Consider the following 19,873-nt stretch of genomic DNA (forward strand, 5'->3'; position numbering starts at 1 on the left):
GCTTTCAGCACAGCATTGCAGCCCACTTAAAAACCATGTTAACTCTAAATTGTTACCTATTTCTAACAGCTATCCCTTTTCAATTAATCCATGGATTTTAAAGCAAGCCTCTTAGATCTTCATCAAAGTCATTCGTACAAATGCTGAGGAAGACAAAACTCAGGGCAAAGGCTTATGATCCTTAACCAGGGACGATACCCTGACGCAAACCCAAGAACGTATACACCTCGCCGGTGCTGGTTCAGTCTGCCTCCCGCTCACACAGCAATACTGCTAATTAATCTGCACACCACCTCATACACAAGAGCATCCTGCATCCTTGACAAATGCTTTGCAGAAAGCAGGATTAACTTATCTTTCAAAACAAAGTGTAAGAAATCTATACATATTAAAATTATAATTATATACAAATATTTATGTACACAGAACAAAGACTAGAAGGGATACAACATCAATGGAAATGGTTGTTCCAGAGTCAGTCTGTGGAAACTGGAGATTTGTTTTTTACTTAATACTGTCTTTAATACGGTTACAGAATTTAAAACACTGGGAATTATGAAGAGAGAATTTGGCTTGGAAGCAATCCATGTGAAATAGCATTTAAGAGCATTGAGACTCTATCTGATCCTATCAACCTGAAAACTTGAATCAGAAACATATTCACTTGAAAAGACTTATTGATACCTAGAAACATTGGCTTTTTCTTCTTTATTATTTTTTTTTTTTGTTTCTCGTACTGCTACTTTAGGCTTAATATTTCTGGAAATCAGGGAGATAACAGACTGGAGAACTGGATTCCGAAGTTTAGAAAAAGCCTGAATGGAGTGTGCGTTAGTCTATGTATGCTCCTCACATCTGTCTGTCTGTCTGTCTCTGCTGGGGAGGTTGAGAGGGATAGAAAGAAAACAGCCATCATATTGATATTTCTGTGAAGCTATGGACTAAGCGATCTCCCCTCCAGCCCAAGAATTTCTAACGAACACAGACCCATATCATCAATTCCCCTAGAGTCATTTTTTTACACTGGAGGTAGGAAATAAGTGTTAGAATATGCATTTAGGTGTTTACAGAATATGGAAGGGTAAGTTTTAAGGAAAGGATTTGGGTAGATTATGGATAATTAGCAAAAAAGAAAAAGGAAGAAGGTGGCTGGGTATTTTGGAGAAAATGTGATCTATAAATACTGCACTTATTAGAATCAGAAACAATCTGAATATTTGACTTGGGAATTTTTTTAACAAGTCAGGATTTCTTCACTACTTCAATATTTTGTGTACTGCATGATTTTCACCAGTGGAAAACTAGTGTTAGAAACTGGATACATGTTATCTTTATTTCCTTGAGGTTGTCGCTAACCAGTTTTTTCTGGTGTTGTCCCTTATTTTCAATGTCTGTGAGACAAGTGAAAATGCCACTTTGCTTAGAAATGCAATTTATCCACCATACTATAGGATAAGTAAAATACATGAAGCAAATCAACAGCTTTTAGATTTATGGCAAACTGTTGTAAAAATGGATAAAATGTTCAATACAAAGTCCACTTACTCTTTGACAACTGGAAATTGTACTTTGCTTAGAAATAAATTTTCCGTACCATACCAGAACTTAAGCCAAATACAGGTGGTAAGTCAGCAGGTTCGTAAATCCATAGCAATTGTCATTAAAAATGAATAAGGTGTCCAAATAGAAAGTCCAGTTATTATTTGACAACTGAAAATTTTACTTTGCTTAGAAATATATTTTCTCTATATTAGAAATTAAGCCAAATATATGTGGTAAGTCAGCAGATGCATAGATCTATAGCAAATTGTCATTAAAAAGGGATAAAATGTCCAAATAGAAAGTACAATTACTATTTTACAAGTGAAAATTCCAGTTTGTTTTGAAATCGTTTTCTAAAACCCTAGAACTTAAGCTAAATACATAAGGTAAATTCAACAGCTTTATAAATACATGGCAAATTTTCATTAAATGGGTAAAATGTCCAAAGAGAAAGTCTAGTTATTATCTAACAAGTGAAAATCCCACTTTGTTTTGAAATACAATTTTCTTAACATACTAGAAGTTAAATATAGGTGTTAAATCAACAGCTTCGTAGATCTACAGCAAATTCTCATAAAAATAGATAAAATGTCTAAATACGAAGCCCAGTTATTATTTGATAAAATAAATAATACACATTAACTCCTCTTTGCTGTATATGCAACCCTGTGCAAAATGGGCAGAAATAGTCAACACCAGAAATAAATATCTGAGAAAATCCAAAATTCACATAGATATTAAATATCCAAAATATGTTTAAAGTTCTTATCTATTAATTTGGTTTTGGTTTTGGTTTTGAAAATGTTTGTTGTTCTAGACAACACAAAAATGTTACCTAAAGTATTGCTCTATTAATGTTATCTTTCTGTTTTATTTTTAGTATTGTTTTGTTTTTTGGATAACAAAAAGGTTTTATCTAAATTACTTATATATTGATGCTGTTTTTTCCCTTAGAAAATTCTATTTCTAAGCAAAGTGAAAATATTTTCATATGTAGAGGAATAAAAAACTACAATATGTTAGAATAGTGAGATGGGAGAAAATTCTTCTCAGTTTTCTGGTTTTAAATATTTATGTACTAAGGTTGTTCATTTAAAATTTTAATTAAAAAATTAATATTATTTCCTTTAAAGAAAGCTCTCCAAACTTAATGTTATTTAACATTTAAAGGCTCTTTGGAAAGAAAATAATCGAGGAGAATTAATTTGATCTTGTTTTTAACTTTTAGAAAGTATTTAACTGCAATCCTATGAAAAATATTTATTGTATAGCTACCTATATATGCATAGAGAACGTCTGAAAAAGCAGACTCTATAATGTTTACTGGTGTTATTGCAGGGTGAATAGGTTACAGGTGACCTTTTCTTTAGAGTTTTCTAGGGTTTTCTCTCCTGAATTTTGTACAATGACCTGAAATTACTTTTATTATGGTAAAATACTAATTACGTTTTTTAAAAAAAGTCCTGGTTAGCATTTTGAAATGAAAAAATCAAATTGGTTCAAACTTGTTCAAACTTTTAAAGTCTTAAGATGGATTTTTGAACTTTAATTTTTCCTGCTTTTCATCTATACTGGTTTTAAATCTCAATTTTTAGAAAAATAATGTCTCAGTTAACTAGGTGAAGTAACTTTCGAATTTAAACAAACAAACAAAACTGGTAAGAATTTGACAGCGGTCACCAGAACAGTACTCTACCAAGCATAAGAAATCCTGGAATTATTCTATCTTGCAGAAGAGGGTGAACATCCTAAAGATTAAATTAAAAGGCACTTCTAAAAAGTATAATTGTGTTTACCCAACTTCCTAGGGAAATGTCTTTGTTAAAAAGCTGCATTTCATTCATTCATATTCCGGATAGTGGGCATTTTCTAATAAAAAGTAAAATCTCAGTAAATGGGCTACAGTTTTGTTTATTCCTAGAAAGGCTCTCTTTTAAAGTGCGGTGTCTGCAACGTTGTTATGACAATAAGTCAAATTCTTATTGATATTCCAAGTATAAAATAATCCGTAGCAATGTTACTAAAATGTGCTCAATTTTGCTCTTCAAATATGAAAGCGTTTCATCTGTGTTTCAGAAACCTAACTCAGCTGTAGACAATTTGGTTTTCCCTTTTAACTTAAACTTGTTTTACTAAGATCATCAACAGATTGTCAGTTTCCCAAGCACCTGACACTGAGGCGCTTAGATGGGAATCCGCGTTAAGGTTTTATTTAGCATCCTTCCTCATCAGAATTTTAGCGTCTTATCAGCCACTGCAATTTTCCCTGACATAAAATATATATGTTCATAGTACAAATGCACGCAAATATTTGTGGCCGAATCTCGGCAACCCGCTGGAAAGGATTAAACGTGCGGTTGCCGTGACTAAACGCATTCATTCACCCTACAAGATTTAGGAAAATGTAACGTTGCAAGGGAAGCAAGGTCTCTGTGTAAACCTCGTAATCGCCACCAAAAGTCGGTAGCTGGGAGCCTTCAAAGCCCGCCAAACACACTGGAAGCATCCACAGCTGTTTTAAATTGGTTTTGGTTTCTGGAAATAGCGCACTCGGTACGGCAGCATCTCTGGCCTCCAGCCGGGGTTAACCCTGACCTGAACGCCCTGTTTAGCTCCCAGCATTTCATGATTCCGCTTCCCTGCTCCGTAAAACCGAAGAAAACCGAGATTTCCGTCACCGAGAAATGCACTTAGCAAGAGGGGGAAATTCGGTGTTTTAAATGTCACATTTTTGTGTTCTCTACCACTATCAAGAAAAGGAAAAAAGATGTGTTTGTGTAGCGGGGACGCAGCTTGACACCCATTTCCTTTGGCTCGCATCGCGGTCGCAGAGCCCAATCGCGGGGAAACGGGCCCCCCAGAAAAACAGGCAACGACCCCCAGCTCTTTGCTACAGGGATCGGGAGAGGACTACCCTGGGGCTGGGCGGGGAGGGGGATGTTGGGAACAGGAATTGGAGATGGAATTTCTGCGCCCGCAGAGCAGGGAGGGGCCCGCGGGGGCGCGGAGAGGAAAAAAAGGCCAGGGGTCAAGCCTGGGGAGAGAGAAGCTGGGCCGGGGAAATGGGGTACAGGGTGTACTGAAGGAGGGGTACGGTGGGGTCCGGGACAGAAAGAGAGGCTGGTGCCCAAAGGGCGCGCTCAGGCGCCCGGAACCCGAGCGGGGGAGGGGGAGGCGGCGGCCTGTTGGCCCCGGGACCTCCACGTCGCGCGCAGGCCACTAACCTGTCAGCAAGAATGTGCCAGTGGTCGCGGGGCTCATCCTGCGTGTCCCCCGACCCTGTCCCGTCCAAGCACAGGGGTCTCCCAGCTCCCACCACCGGGGCAATTGCATTCTTGGCCTGGCTAGGCCGTCCGTCCTCGATTCTCCCCTCCCCTCCCTTTCTTCTTCCCTCCCAGCTTGGCCAGTTCAGCATCAGCATCCCGCACCCCCTCGGTAATCCCGTACTCCCTCTAGCGGCGGGCCACTGCAGCGTGGCCACCGCCCCCACCCCCATCCCCCATCCCCGCACCCCCCTCCACCCCCTAGCCCGCGGAGCACGCTGGGATTTGGCGCCCCCCTCCTCGGTGCAACCTATATAAGGCTCACAGTCTGCGCTCCTGGTACACGCGCTTCAACTTCGGTTGGTGTGTGTCGAAGAAACCTGACTGCGCCCTGAGGAGAACAGCGGAGAAGGTCCACCGAGCCTGGCGAAAGGTCCGCTGAGCGGGCTGTCGTCCGGAGCCACTCCGGGCTGCGGAGCACCCAGTGGAGACCGCGCCTGGCTCAGGTGTGGGACCCCATCCTTCCTGTCTTCGCAGAGGAGTCCTCGCGTGGTGAGTATGCGGTGAGGACGTTTTTTTTTTAAAGATCACGTTCATTCCCCGTGCTTATCGGGAGCTGCGGGAGATGGAGTAGCACCCCAGAATGTCTCCACGCAAAACTTGTCACGCCTTCACTGGCTGTACCCCAAAACAAATGGGGAAACCAAGCCTTAAAGGCTTGGGTTTCCAGGACCAAGTCCAGATACGGGCTGTAGACAGAGATGAGCTGCGGACAGTGATGAGCTGCAGACGGTCAGGAGCTATAGATCGATTTGCAATTTGCTCTTCAAATGCGCTACCAAGTGCCATGCTTTACAAACAGATAAGCGCTTCAAATGCGCTACAAACTGGCGCTTCAGATGCGCTACAAGCACGCTTCACGCGGGCGACAAACTGATGGGAGCTACAACTGGCGCTTCATTGCGCTATAAACTGATGGGCGCTTTATGTGCCACAAACTGACGGATGGGCGCTTCAGTGGCGCTACAATCCAGAACGAGGAGCAGCGATATAGGAGCTGCAGACAGAAAACTGAATTGCGCTTTACATGCGCTGCAAAATCTGAGCTGCAGAAGAGTAGCACTACAAAAAACGCTACAAAAACGATGCGATTAGCCAGCCCGACAACAGCGCTTCATTGCGCTGCGAGGCACATGAACTGCAGAGGTACATGAGCTGCGGAACAATTCACACCTAAGATGCACTACAAAGTGGTAAGAGCTGCAGAGGTACAGGAGCTGCAGACCGTTTGCGCTACAAATAAAGCAGCCGTAGTGGGACATGAGCTGCGGAGTACAATTCCTCTGTTTTCTTGGAGCAGGACCCCACCCTTTCACCTTTTGGAATGGCTCCCACTCTATTTTTCTGCAGGACGGTTCTCGCATGATGGTGCTGGTAGACAAAATGGAGCCCCGGGCAAAAATTAGTGTTTAACATTCTGCCCACACCATTCCCGCTATAGCAGTGGAGTGGAGGGGCACTGATTGGAGTGGAAATGGGAATCTTTTGGTGATGGCAGAGCAGGCTGCCTGCCTACTTGTGCTTGATTGAAGTGGCGGTGTAGTTGTGGTGGCGCGAATCAGCGTCCAGCAACAGTTTGTGGAAACTGTGGGTTTGCTGAGTATGGCGGGGGAATTGGATCTGTGGATTGCTCTTGCTGCATGAAATGAATCTGGCTTTGGTGACTGGTGGGAGGGGTTTGGGAGGGGGGATTCTGGCGGCGGGGGGGGGGGGTGTGCAGATACTCTGCAGCCCTGTAGCAGCCAGTCTCAGGCCTGCCCCGCCCATCCTAGTGTGCCTTCTCTGCGGTGCTTAGCGCCTCCTCCTACAGCGCCTCCTCAGAGCGCGCCTCCCCTGCAGCGCGCCTTCCCAGAGCGCGCCTTCTAGATGCGGCCTCCTCAGGCCCCTCCTCCCAGCTCCTTAGCGCCTGCCTGCCCAGGCCCCACCTCTCTCTGGCCACCTCATTCTGAGGTGAGCTGCTCAGGCCCCGCCTCTTCCAGGCCCGCCTTTTCTGTGGTGAGCTGCCCAGGCCCTGCCTCTCCCGGGCCCACCTACTCTGAGGTGAACTGTCCAGGCCCCGCCTCTCCCGGGGCCGCCCCCTCTGAGGTGAACTGCCCAGGCCCCACCTCTCCTGGGCCCGCCTCCTCTGAGGTGAACTGCCCAGGCCCCGCCTCTCCTGGGCCCGCCTCCTCTGAGGTGAACTGCCCAGACCCCACCTCTCCTGGGCCCGCCTCCTCTGAGGTGAACTGCCCAGGCCCCGCCTCTCCTGGGCCCGCCTCCTCTGAGGTGAACTGCCCAGGCCCCGCCTCTCCTGGGCCCGCCTCCTCTGATGTGAGCTCACCCAGATCCCACCTCCCCAGGCCCGCCTCCTCTTAGGTAGCCTGCTCAGGCCCCGCCTCTCCAAGGCTTGGCCCCTCCCTAAGCCTGCCTCTGCCGGGCTGGCCTATAGTCCCACCTCCCTCAGAGCCGGCTAGCACACATGCGCAGTGTGAACCCTCAGCCCCTCCCTTCAGGCGCCGGTCCTCTGCACCTGCGCACCTTCCTTGCCTGAGCCCTGGCTGTACAGCCCCGCCCCCCTGCGGTTTCTCTGCTGTGTTGGTTTTGCTTTTTGGCTACTAGAGTCTAATAGAATAATAAATAAAACAATTAACAATAATAATTATAACTGGAATTTATGAGCACTTTTAATATGTTCTTTGCATATATTCAATAACATAATCCCACAATTTAAACTCCTGATAGTGGCTTATGAAGGGACCTTGTAAACTGACATGGCTGGTGCCTCTAAAGGCAATTTAGCCAAATGTTTTTACTGCAAATGAAAACCAAAACTTAACAATTTATTTTTAAAAACTTTAAAAATATTTTCACATTTAAGGTTTTTTTAGAGGCACTAGTGGACCTTTGGGAATCGGATGTTTTGGTGGATACAAAATTGGTGCTGTTGGTTTGGCCTCTGAGTGAGGATAAGGCTTTTATTTGCGTGCCTATGAAGCTGGGTGTTTTCCTTGAATCTCTAGGTGATTAACCCTAGCCTATTTGCCTATGTATAATAAATTGTGCCTGCACATGGTAGGCATTCATTAAATATGTGTTAAATGACCAGAGTAAATTGGTTTATTCAGTGTCTTGCTTGGTGTCTGTAGGTCTCTTCTGATTTGCTCCTTTCCTATGGTGCTTTGCTGTCCTGGGTTGCCTTGTTTGCGTTATCTCTCACATTTAACAGAATAAAAAAAAAGTGTATGTGTTTTTAAACTCCAATGATATAAGCTGTAATTATAATACAAAGCAACTAAATTAATTTTAATTATTCCAAATAATTAGCTTTTTTCATAAAAAGCTAGTTATTCCAAATATTAGCTTTTTTCATGAAAAGCTAGTTATTCCAAATAATTAGCTTTTTTCATAAAAAGCTAGTTATTCCAAATAATTAGCTTTTTTCATAAAAAGCTAGTTATTCCAAATAATTAGCTTTTTTCATAAAAAGCTAGTTATTCCAAATAATTAGCTTTTTTCATAAAAAGCTAGTTATTCCAAATAATTAGCTTTTTTCATAAAAAGCTAGTTATTCCAAATAATTAGCTTTTTTCATAAAAAGCTAATTTAAATTTGGGGCAAGTGTATTATTAATGGTACATATTGTATTAAAGTTTGTGTAATGTAATATAAAGTGGCCACATTACAAAATATAGGTTGTTTCAGCTTGCAAAATTAAACAACTGTATAAAACAAATTTATAACTGATTGCTAGTAAGAGGTACCATGTAAGAATTGTGTTTCCAGCTGAATGAAGAAATTTTAAAACCTGGTTCCATATATTACAAATCATGAGCCAGGACTTTGGTAGGGGAGGAATTGGGGGCTTTGGCTCCCAAAAATCTCTGTCACATACCCCCTCCCCACCACAAGTACACAATCTATGGAAAATTTGTGCTTATCATAATTACAGCTTTAAGTAATTTTCCCTTCTCTTTGGATATTGTATATTTGCATATTGAAGAGGTTCAAAACAACAGTAATAACATGCATATTAAGAGAATTTGCATTTCATAAATAGTACAAGATAGTACTAAAAAATTGGACATTTGAAAATATGAAGCAACTAAGAGTTGCTTAATGAGATGTCATTTCCTAACAGGATGTTCATTTATGGTTTTTGGCTACTATTGCTCTTTGGTGTGTTTGTGGAATAGAAATTATTCCAAGCTATTGTGAAGAGTCAATAATTAACCAAATGTATTTATTTCCTAAAAAGACTAAAACTGAAATTATTATCATGTAAAGATGGCATCTGTCCTAGGCAACTTGGCTTTATGCAGTTTGTCCTTTCAGTTTTCAGGAATGAGACCTCTTGACCCCTCCCCTCCAATGCAGCCCCTACTAAGGGGGAGTTTAAGGAGCCATACATAGTTCTATAATTCAAATCAAGTAAACATGCTTCTTGTCCCAGGTTAACTTGTGCTGCCTCAGTCGCTGTTTAAACATTTTTATACGCACTGTTAACCTGCCTGCCCATTACCCTATTACTTTTAATGGATAAACTACTGTTCCCTGGGCAGTTGTCTCTTTTAACGTCCCACCCTAAACTTGCCAACCCTCATATGAAGGCCTCAGGCTTGTTATTGGCAAAGGTCAGAAGTCTTAAGCTAGTGACCTTGCAGGCTAAAGTAGGCCTTGAATTTGTTTGACCAGGAACTAAATTAAAAAATAAAAAAGAATGAAATGTCTGGTGGCAGGGGGGCAGGGGTGGGGAGGGTGGTAAGGGGGAGGGCATGCACCCCCAAGTTCCATTGTTGCAGCCCCTCCCATCTTAACTCTGGTCTCTTTTCACTTTTCAACTACCTTCCTTATATACCAAAGGTATTTGAATTTTTAACTCTTATTGATCTTTTATTTCCCTAAACCATGTAGTAATTATTTGCTGATTTCCTAATGTATTGTTATTTCTGTCCCATCACTGTTTTTTGCAGATAATAAAACCATCAGACCTGGGCTTCAATAAAGCCCCACTTAGTGGCCGTGATTGACAAGTGGTCAGGCTGCACCAGGCCATGCTGTGAATGCTCTTTAGGAAGTCTTGTCTCAAGGTTTTGAAGATATTAATGTCTAGATGACAAAAGTGGTACCTTAGTCACCTTACTTATGGTTATTAGTTGTTCATTAATGGGACATGAAAACTCCTAATTTAATAAGGAAAAATTGCATTATGTTGTGATGTTATATTGTCAGGGTCAGCAATACAATTGTCTTTAAGGAGTTGGAAATGATACTGAATGTCACGGGTTATGATGTGTTTATTGTGTTTTCTAATTTTTTCTAAACTTGAATATTTTATCTTGAATGTCAATTATTTGTTGTTTTTATAGCCTAAGTTACTAAAGTAATTAAGTAGTGGGGTTAAAACTGTTAAAATGTCACACTACTCCCTGTCTCTTAAAGACCCTGCTTGCTGTATAGCCACTCCTTGGAGAGGCTACACCAACTGCAAAGGACACAGGGATAGTATCTGTGGGTGGTGACATTGGGGCATGGGAGGTACCTAAAGAGTTTAGGAGTTGGAGAGGAAGGAGCATTTCTTTACAGCCAGGGGCTGGGCATCATGTTTAATTACCACTTTTTTTTTTTCTTGTACTCTATTGGTTGAAAATAGTAACTATTTTTCACCTAACTTCTCTAATTACCAACTGTGTATCTTTTTGGCCTTATTCTATGTAATTTATTTGGCGTCCATTTTTGCAGGTAAATCACATAGTGAGTATCCAGAGAGGACCAACTTATGTATTTAAACTTTTGTTTATTTAAAAGTTTTATAAACTTTCTTTAAAAGTTTTAAACTTTTTAAATCAAAGTTTTTTAAACTTTTTTAAACTTTTACATATTATGTTTTAAACTTTTTATATATTTAAATTTTCCAAATATGGGACTTGAGATTATTAATAAAATTTAAAATAATTAAATCATTCTAAATGCATTTAACTGTATTTTCAGGAAGTACACAGGCAGACACTGTGTCAGGATTTTTATGTGTGTGATTGTCATTACACTCATAATTAGAATGCTTAAACACACACCCTACCCCCACCTCCCCACACACATCCACTCACCCCCTAGGAGTGCAGCCCTGTCCCACCTTAACATTACAAACCTTCATTTGGGGCTATGCTGACAAATCTTCATTAAAAACTATGGATTACAAACTGGTAAACTGCAAGACAAATAAGGCCTTGAATTTGTTTGACCAACACAGTATTTTTAAAAAAGTAAATGTCTTTAGGTGGGAAATGCATGCCCATGTTGCTATAGTTGCAGCCCCTCCCTCTTTTAATCCCACTCTTTTTACACAGATAGTCACCTTTCTATTTTCTAATTAATAACTTTGTTCATATCAGCTAACCATTGTTGAATACTCACTACATAATTTACCTGCACTATTTAATTAAGTCCTCATAATTAGTTTGAGGTATACTATTATTGGGCTTCTTTGAATGTCCCATTTTATAGCTTTTCCTAGGAGGCATCAATTATTATTTCTTGAATGACTGCATAATGACAAAGGAAACTGACATACACATATTGCTGCTTAGTGCCATTTCTGTCCCATAGAGAATTTTCTTTGGGGATTTAAATTATGGTCAGAAAAGTAATTTAGGCAGTCCTGTGGTTTTTGTGGTGGTGGTTGTTTGATTTGATAACCAGTTACCTTCTCGGTGGCAGTGGAATAGGGTTGTGACAGTTGGCCAGAGTACCCTCCTGCCCACAGGGCTGATGAATACATGCATTGTGATTTTAATACTCCCTTCTTGCTTTAATGAGATTCTATTAGTTGCAGTATTAACTATTTTTGGCCTGGCTTCTTTAATAACAAAAGTTATTATTTTGGCTTTAATTTGCATAATTGATTTTGTATCCATGTTTGCCTTGAAGTTTCTTGCTGTGTTTGAATACAAAACTACTTGTTTAGAGGGTTTCAACATTCTTTTATAGTTTATAAAGGTAAGCATGCTGTTGATAATGTATTGTTGAATCATAATGAACAGGTGGCCTTTGAGGAAGACAAGGTCATTTGAACATCAAAAAGTACTTTGCTTTTTGTTATATATGGTGCTGATTACTAACTTTCTCTTGAGAGTTTATTTTCTTTGTTCACTAATTATTAATGTAAGCACGTAGAGCAAGGGATAATTTAAATACCAAATCCTTTGTGTCTGCTTTTGCTGCTTTGAATGTATAAGTTGGATTTATACATACATTTATCTTTATTTACAGAAATAAGCGGGTTTTGAAAACAAAAAAAAGAAGGAGTGGAAGAGGGGGCCAGGATCCAGGCCTCCATCCCCACAGAAGTGAAGCTACAGCTGGGAGGTCTCCTCCCACCCCAACCGTCACCCTGGGTCCCGACTGCCCACCTCCTCCTCCTCCCCCTCCCCCCAACAACAACAACAACAACAACTCCAAGCACACCGGCCATAAGAGTGCGTGTGTCCCCAACATGACCGAACGAAGAAGGGACGAGCTCTCTGAAGAGATCAACAACTTAAGAGAGAAGGTCATGAAGCAGTCGGAGGAGAACAACAACCTGCAGAGCCAGGTGCAGAAGCTCACAGAGGAGAACACCACCCTTCGAGAGCAAGTGGAACCCACCCCTGAGGATGAGGATGATGACATCGAGCTCCGCGGTGCTGCAGCAGCTGCTGCCCCACCCCCTCCAATAGAGGAAGAGTGCCCAGAAGACCTCCCAGAGAAGTTCGATGGCAACCCAGACATGCTGGCTCCTTTCATGGCCCAGTGCCAGATCTTCATGGAAAAGAGCACCAGGGATTTCTCAGTTGATCGTGTCCGTGTCTGCTTCGTGACAAGCATGATGACCGGCCGTGCTGCCCGTTGGGCCTCAGCAAAGCTGGAGCGCTCCCACTACCTGATGCACAACTACCCAGCTTTCATGATGGAAATGAAGCATGTCTTTGAAGACCCTCAGAGGCGAGAGGTTGCCAAACGCAAGATCAGACGCCTGCGCCAAGGCATGGGGTCTGTCATCGACTACTCCAATGCTTTCCAGATGATTGCCCAGGACCTGGATTGGAACGAGCCTGCGCTGATTGACCAGTACCACGAGGGCCTCAGCGACCACATTCAGGAGGAGCTCTCCCACCTCGAGGTCGCCAAGTCGCTGTCTGCTCTGATTGGGCAGTGCATTCACATTGAGAGAAGGCTGGCCAGGGCTGCTGCAGCTCGCAAGCCACGCTCGCCACCCCGGGCGCTGGTGTTGCCTCACATTGCAAGCCACCACCAGGTAGATCCAACCGAGCCGGTGGGAGGTGCCCGCATGCGCCTGACGCAGGAAGAAAAAGAAAGACGCAGAAAGCTGAACCTGTGCCTCTACTGTGGAACAGGAGGTCACTACGCTGACAATTGTCCTGCCAAGGCCTCAAAGTCTTCGCCGGCGGGAAACTCCCCGGCCCCGCTGTAGAGGGACCTTCAGCGACCGGGCCAGAAATAATAAGGTCCCCACAAGATGATGCCTCATCTCCACACTTGCAAGTGATGCTCCAGATTCATCTTCCGGGCAGACACACCCTGTTCGTCCGAGCCATGATCGATTCTGGTGCTTCTGGCAACTTCATTGATCACGAATATGTTGCTCAAAATGGAATTCCTCTAAGAATCAAGGACTGGCCAATACTTGTGGAAGCAATTGATGGGCGCCCCATAGCATCGGGCCCAGTTGTCCACGAAACTCACGACCTGATAGTTGACCTGGGAGATCACCGAGAGGTGCTGTCATTTGATGTGACTCAGTCTCCATTCTTCCCTGTCGTCCTAGGGGTTCGCTGGCTGAGCACACATGATCCCAATATCACATGGAGCACTCGATCTATCGTCTTTGATTCTGAATACTGCCGCTACCACTGCCGGATGTATTCTCCAATACCACCATCGCTCCCACCACCAGCACCACAACCGCCACTCTATTATCCAGTAGATGGATACAGAGTTTACCAACCAGTGAGGTATTACTATGTCCAGAATGTGTACACTCCAGTAGATGAGCACGTCTACCCAGATCACCGCCTGGTTGACCCTCACATAGAAATGATACCTGGAGCACACAGTATTCCCAGTGGACATGTGTATTCACTGTCCGAACCTGAAATGGCAGCTCTTCGAGATTTTGTGGCAAGAAATGTAAAAGATGGGCTAATTACTCCAACGATTGCACCTAATGGAGCCCAAGTTCTCCAGGTGAAGAGGGGGTGGAAACTGCAAGTTTCTTATGATTGCCGAGCTCCAAACAATTTTACTATCCAGAATCAGTATCCTCGCCTATCTATTCCAAATTTAGAAGACCAAGCACACCTGGCAACGTACACTGAATTCGTACCTCAAATACCTGGATACCAAACATACCCCACATATGCCGCGTACCCGACCTACCCAGTAGGATTCGCCTGGTACCCAGTGGGACGAGACGGACAAGGAAGATCACTATATGTACCTGTGATGATCACTTGGAATCCACACTGGTACCGCCAGCCTCCGGTACCACAGTACCCGCCGCCACAGCCGCCGCCTCCACCACCACCACCGCCGCCGCCTCCATCTTACAGTACCCTGTAAATACCTGTCATGTCCTTCAGGATCTCTGCCCTCAAAATTTATTCCTGTTCAGCTTCTCAATCAGTGACTGTGTGCTAAATTTTAGGCTACTGTATCTTCAGGCCACCTGAGGCACATCCTCTCTGAAACGGCTATGGAAGGTTAGGGCCACTCTGGACTGGCACACATCCTAAAGCACCAAAAGACCTTCAACATTTTCTGAGAGCAACAGAGTATTTGCCAATAAATGATCTCTCATTTTTCCACCTTGACTGCCAATCTAACTAAAATAATTAATAAGTTTACTTTCCAGCCAGTCCTGGAAGTCTGGGTTTTACCTGCCAAAACCTCCATCACCATCTAAATTATAGGCTGCCAAATTTGCTGTTTAACATTTACAGAGAAGCTGATACAAACGCAGGAAATGCTGATTTCTTTATGGAGGGGGAGACGAGGAGGAGGAGGACATGACTTTTCTTGCGGTTTCGGTACCCTCTTTTTAAATCACTGGAGGACTGAGGCCTTATTAAGGAAGCCAAAATTATCGGTGCAGTGTGGAAAGGCTTCCGTGATCCTCTCGCTGCACCCTTAGAAACTTCACCGTCTTCAAACTCCATTTCCATGGTTCTGTTAATTCTCAAGGAGCAGCAACTCGACTGGTTCTCCCAGGAGCAGGAAAAACCCTTGTGACATGAAACATCTCAGGCCTGAAAAGAAAGTGCTCTCTCAGATGGACTCTTGCATGTTAAGACTATGTCTTCACATCATGGTGCAAATCACATGTACCCAATGACTCCGGCTTTGACACAACACCTTACCATCATCATGCCATGATGGCTTCCACAAAGCATTAAACCTGGTAACCAGAGATTACTGGTGGCTCCAGCGTTGTTAGATGTTCATGAAATGTGACCACCTCTCAATCACCTTTGAGGGCTAAAGAGTAGCACATCAAAAGGACTCCAAAATCCCATACCCAACTCTTAAGAGATTTGTCCTGGTACTTCAGAAAGAATTTTCATGAGTGTTCTTAATTGGCTGGAAAAGCACCAGCTGACGTTTTGGAAGAATCTATCCATGTGTCTGCCTCCATATGCATCTGGGCATTTCATCTTCAGTCCCCTCATTAGACTGTAGCATTAGGATGTGTGGAGAGAGGAGAAATGATTTAGCACCCAGATTCACACTCCTATGCCTGGAAGGGGGACATCTTTGAAGAAGAGGAATTAGGGCTGTGGACACTGTCTTGAGGATGTGGACTTCCTTAGTGAGCTCCACATTACTTGATGGTAACCACTTCAAAAGGATCAGAATCCACGTAATGAAAAAGGTCCCTCTAGAGGATGGAGCTGATGTGAAGCTGCCAATGGATGAAAAGCCTCAGAAAGCAACTCAAAGGACTCAAAGCAACGGACAACACAAGAGTTGTCTTCAGCCCAGTGACACCTCTGATGTCCCCTGGAAGCTTTGTGCTAACCTGGGACTGCCTGACTTCCTTTAGCCTGGTCCCTTGCTACTACCTTGAACTGTTTTATCTAACCTCTCTTTTTCTGTTTAATTCTTTGCTACTGCCATTGACCCTGCTGCAGGATTTGTGTCATTTTCCTGCCTGGTTGCTGAGACTCCATTTTGCTGCCACACACAGAGATGTAAGAGGCAGGCTTTAATTGCCAAAGCACAGTTTGAGCAGTAGAAAACAACATGGTGTATATCTCAAATTGCCTGACATGAAGAGGAGTCTAACGGTGAAGTTTCACTTTTCATCAGCATCATCTTTCACATGTTCATTATCATCTGCTCTTATTCTTGCATGTTTAAACACTTAAAATTTTTAGTATAATTTTTAGTGTGTTTTGAAGTGGTGACTAGGCTTTCAAAAACTTCCATTGAATTACAAAGCACTATCCAGTTCTTATTGTTAAACTAAGTAAAAATGATAAGTAACATAGTGTAAAATATTCCTTTACTGTGAACTTCTTACAATGCTGTGAATGAGAGGCTCCTCAGAACTGGAGCATTTGTATAATAATTCATCCTGTTCATCTTCAATTTTAACATCATATATAATTTCAATTCTATCAATTGGGCCTTTAAAAATCATATAAAAGGATATAAAATTTGAAAAGAGAAACCTAATTGGCTATTTAATCCAAAACAACTTTTTTTTTCCTTCAATGGAATCAGAAAGCTTGTCAATCACTCATGTGTTTTAGAGTAATTACTTTTAAAATGGTGCATTTGTGCTTCTGAACTATTTTGAAGAGTCACTTCTGTTTACCTCAAGTATCAATTCATCCTCCATACATTTGAATTCAAGTTGTTTTTTTGTCAAATTTACAGTTGTCAATTGATCTTCAAGCTGCAGGGTGCCTAGAAATGGGCCGTTGTCTGTAGCCCTGGCATGTGCACACGGACATTTGCCACCACTGCAAGCAAAAGTCTGGAGAAGTTCACCAACGACAAGAACGATTAGGGAAAATATGCTGCTGTGGGTTAACAACTCAGAAAGTCCCTGATCCACATTTGGCTGTTTACTAAAGCTTGTGATTAACTTTTTGGCAGTGTGTACTATGCTCTATTGCTATATATGCTATCTATAAATGTAGATGTTAAGGATAAGTAATTCTAAATTTATTATTCTATAGTTTTGAAGTTTGGTTAAGTTTCCTTTCACTCAATTGATTTATTTTGTTGTTAATCAAATTTATGTTAATTGGATCCTTTAAATTTTTTTTGGCATTTTCCAACAAAAATGGCTTTATTCATAAGAAAGGAAAAAAATCAATGGAATTTGATATCTAAAGAAGTTAGAAAGGGAGCAAAATAAAAAACATAAAGGAGATAGATGAATTAGTAAGCAAATCAGTAGTCGAGTTTTTCAAACTGGCAAAATTAATTAATTGACTTTTAGCCCAAATTTACATTGTTAATTAAATCAAGAAGGAAGAAGATCTAAGAGCTCCCATTGATAGGCAAGCCTAGAGAGAACTAGCTAAATTTATCATGCTAGGATATTGAAACACAGAAAGTTTACATACATTTATGAAGGGTCAATTTAGTTTGGACAGTGAGGTATTTGTCTTAGTGGAAAAAAGGAGAATTAGTCTGATCAAATCGTGAAGTAATACAGTGAACTTGCAGGTGCACAAAATAAGAGGGCCACATCTATATGGTGCAGTCTGGAATTCTGTTTAAGTTTGTAGGTACCTCTTGGACTTCTGAATTGATCCAGTTGTCATCCACCACAGACATCTCACATCAGATACAGACAGTTCCAAGATTGACAACAGAGAACAACCTGCTGGAAAGACCTGGGCAGAAATGGAGAGCCCTGCGGGAACCATGCTACATTTTCATCTAAAGAGAGAATGCACATCTGATGAGACTGAAAGTTCTTTGTTGTTTTAGATTGTAGAATGGTATTGAATTGGTCTGTGGAAAATTGCATTGCTTTTATTTCTTTGTGTAATCAAGTTTAAGTAATAGGGGATATATAATCATAAGCATTTTAGGGTGGGAGGGACTATTAAGTAATTTTAAGTGGGTGGGGTTATTTAGAATGTTAGAATAATATTATGTATTAGATATCGCTATAAGTGGACATGCGTACTTACTTGTAACCCTTTACCCTATAATTGCTATCCTTAAAGATTTCAAATAAACTCGGAGGGAACTGCAGGGAGACCAACTTATTTAGAGCGAATTGGACATGGATAAAAACCCCAGTGGGAGAAAGTTCAAAGGTGATTAGATTAATAATTTAATAGAGGATGAGTGACCTCTGATAAATTACTGCTAGAATGAACTTGTCAATGATGGATGGTAAATTTTCATGGAAGTTATAAAAGTGATAAATAAAAACCCTTGCTTTTACCCCTGTCAGTAGCCCTCCTCCTACCACTGAACCCCATTGCCCCTACCCCTCCTTCTAACTTTATTGCTGTATTCTCTTCACTCTATATTTCTCTCTATTTGCTAATATTGCATTGCTGTTACAATAAAAATTCAATAAAGATTTAGTGGTTAAGTGCAAACTGTGTCCTGATCATTTCAGCATCTACCAGCATCAAGGGAATGGGGTGGGGTAGGGTGGGGAAGGCTGAGAGAGTAGGGAGAGTGGGAGAGGCTAGAGTAGGGTGGGGCTGTGGGGAGGGTGGGATTGTTGGAAGGGTAGGGAGGTAGGAGGGTGGGTAGGGTAGGGGTGGAATTGAGTTTGGGATAGTGGGGTGGTGGTATAAAGAACATTATTGATTACAACCTAGTATGAATTATATAGCCAGAATACTCCAGGAAATCAGTTATTCCAGCTGCAAAAGTTTAACATATAAAATAAAGATACACAATTAATAGCAACTCTGGTTGCTATTATCACAAACTTTAACATCAGTTTTACTTTAAATACTTGAGATTCATTAATATAAAATTATGAAGTATTAGGACATAGAAGAAGAGTTTCAAAGGGCTGCTAGGTTCATATGACATGACAGTCACATAAATATGACTGTTTATTGGGAAGATAGTGACTAAAAGGAAAAATCTAGAACTAATGAAAACACACAACTAAAAACTGTCTACCCTCAGAAGCAGGCTACCAGAGTAGCTATCCATCAAGCAGAGCTCACAAACTCCAATCGTGTGCAGGGTGGTGGGTGGGTTTGAAGAATTGGGAGTAAGGGTCCTCAGCCAAGAACTACTGAGTTATTAAGTACCTGCCCTGGGGGTTTCTTACAATTTAACCTGATACAAAAGTGATTAGCCAAATCCAGTTGAAAGAAAATGGAAATATTTTATTCCAATTTGTTACACCTAGACTCCTCCTCATCTGGGCCCCACTTCTTTCCATAATCCATGTGATTAAACAAAAACAAAAAAAAAAGGTGCTCAGCCTCAAGATTATATTAAGTTATGCAGCTGTATGACAAAGCTAGTCCAGAACAATAAACTTATTTTACATAACAATTGCAATATTTTTTGAAACTTTTTATGAAATGAATAAAGACACCCTCTTATCTAGTGTAGTAGATGCTAGCAATTAATCAAAACAACTAATTACAATCAAAACAATTGTTTAGAATGATGACCACACTATGTTAACTTAAAACACAAATGTACATTCATTTGGTCAATCTTAAAAGAGGTCCATATTCTACTGATTGGAGCTCTGAGTTGCCCTTTTGAATAAATCATCAGTACAAAATGTTATACAACAATGGGAAAATAAACAACTTTTAAAAACATAAAGGCAATTAAATATTCATGAGGATAAGAATCACTCTTGATCCATACCTCAAAAAATACACTAACGAATTGCATAAGGACTACGAGAAGGAAGAAGAACTTATTGGTATGAGGAGGGTAAACTAATACATCTAAGATGAATTAAATTAATAAAGATAACATGCACAACAGAATGGAAACATATTTGGTACATACCT

The 19,873-nt window shown here is 41.6% G+C and overlaps 2 protein-coding genes across 18 annotated transcripts in view, besides 5 other annotated features; one reads left to right on the top strand and one right to left on the bottom strand.

The window, feature by feature from the left end:
• Positions 1-4,910, bottom strand: part of SGCE (sarcoglycan epsilon) — a 71,154-nt gene extending 66,244 nt beyond the window's left edge. For all 12 annotated transcript variants that reach the window (NM_001362809.2, NM_001301139.2, NM_001346717.2 and 9 more), the window contains exon 1: positions 4,767-4,910. In NM_001362809.2, the coding sequence (NP_001349738.1) occupies positions 4,767-4,875 (109 nt within the window). In that variant the 5' untranslated portion in view covers positions 4,876-4,910. The remainder of the gene's footprint in view (positions 1-4,766) is intronic.
• Positions 4,258-5,035: an enhancer, noted in NCBI's record as "H3K27ac-H3K4me1 hESC enhancer chr7:94284793-94285570 (GRCh37/hg19 assembly coordinates)". NCBI's record gives its function as "activates a minimal SCP1, AML or CMV promoter by ChIP-STARR-seq in primed H9 embryonic stem cells {active_cell/tissue: H9 hESC(primed)}" and the evidence as "EXISTENCE:reporter gene assay evidence [ECO:0000049][PMID:30033119]".
• On the top strand, positions 5,102-18,472 carry PEG10 (paternally expressed 10). 6 transcript variants are annotated; one of them, NM_001184961.1, is given in 2 exon segments: positions 5,102-5,357; positions 12,111-18,472. In NM_001184961.1, coding segments are annotated over 1 exon segment (2,229 nt in total). In that variant the 5' UTR covers positions 5,102-5,357; positions 12,111-12,231; the 3' UTR covers positions 14,460-18,472.
• Positions 6,305-6,354: an enhancer, noted in NCBI's record as "active region_26291". NCBI's record gives its function as "activates an Ori minimal core promoter by ATAC-STARR-seq in GM12878 lymphoblastoid cells {active_cell/tissue: GM12878}" and the evidence as "EXISTENCE:reporter gene assay evidence [ECO:0000049][PMID:35858748]".
• Positions 6,825-7,064: a silencer, noted in NCBI's record as "silent region_18381". NCBI's record gives its function as "represses an Ori minimal core promoter by ATAC-STARR-seq in GM12878 lymphoblastoid cells {active_cell/tissue: GM12878}" and the evidence as "EXISTENCE:reporter gene assay evidence [ECO:0000049][PMID:35858748]".
• Positions 7,134-7,428: an enhancer, noted in NCBI's record as "tiled region #6132; HepG2 Activating DNase unmatched - State 4:PromP, and K562 Activating DNase unmatched - State 12:CtcfO". NCBI's record gives its function as "activates a minimal TATA promoter and a strong SV40 promoter by Sharpr-MPRA in HepG2 and K562 cells {active_cell/tissue: HepG2 | K562}" and the evidence as "EXISTENCE:reporter gene assay evidence [ECO:0000049][PMID:27701403]".
• Positions 15,885-16,004: an enhancer, noted in NCBI's record as "active region_26292". NCBI's record gives its function as "activates an Ori minimal core promoter by ATAC-STARR-seq in GM12878 lymphoblastoid cells {active_cell/tissue: GM12878}" and the evidence as "EXISTENCE:reporter gene assay evidence [ECO:0000049][PMID:35858748]".

This window comes from Homo sapiens, chromosome 7 (genome assembly GCF_000001405.40).
Source record: "Homo sapiens chromosome 7, GRCh38.p14 Primary Assembly".
Taxonomy (NCBI): domain Eukaryota; kingdom Metazoa; phylum Chordata; class Mammalia; order Primates; family Hominidae; genus Homo; species Homo sapiens.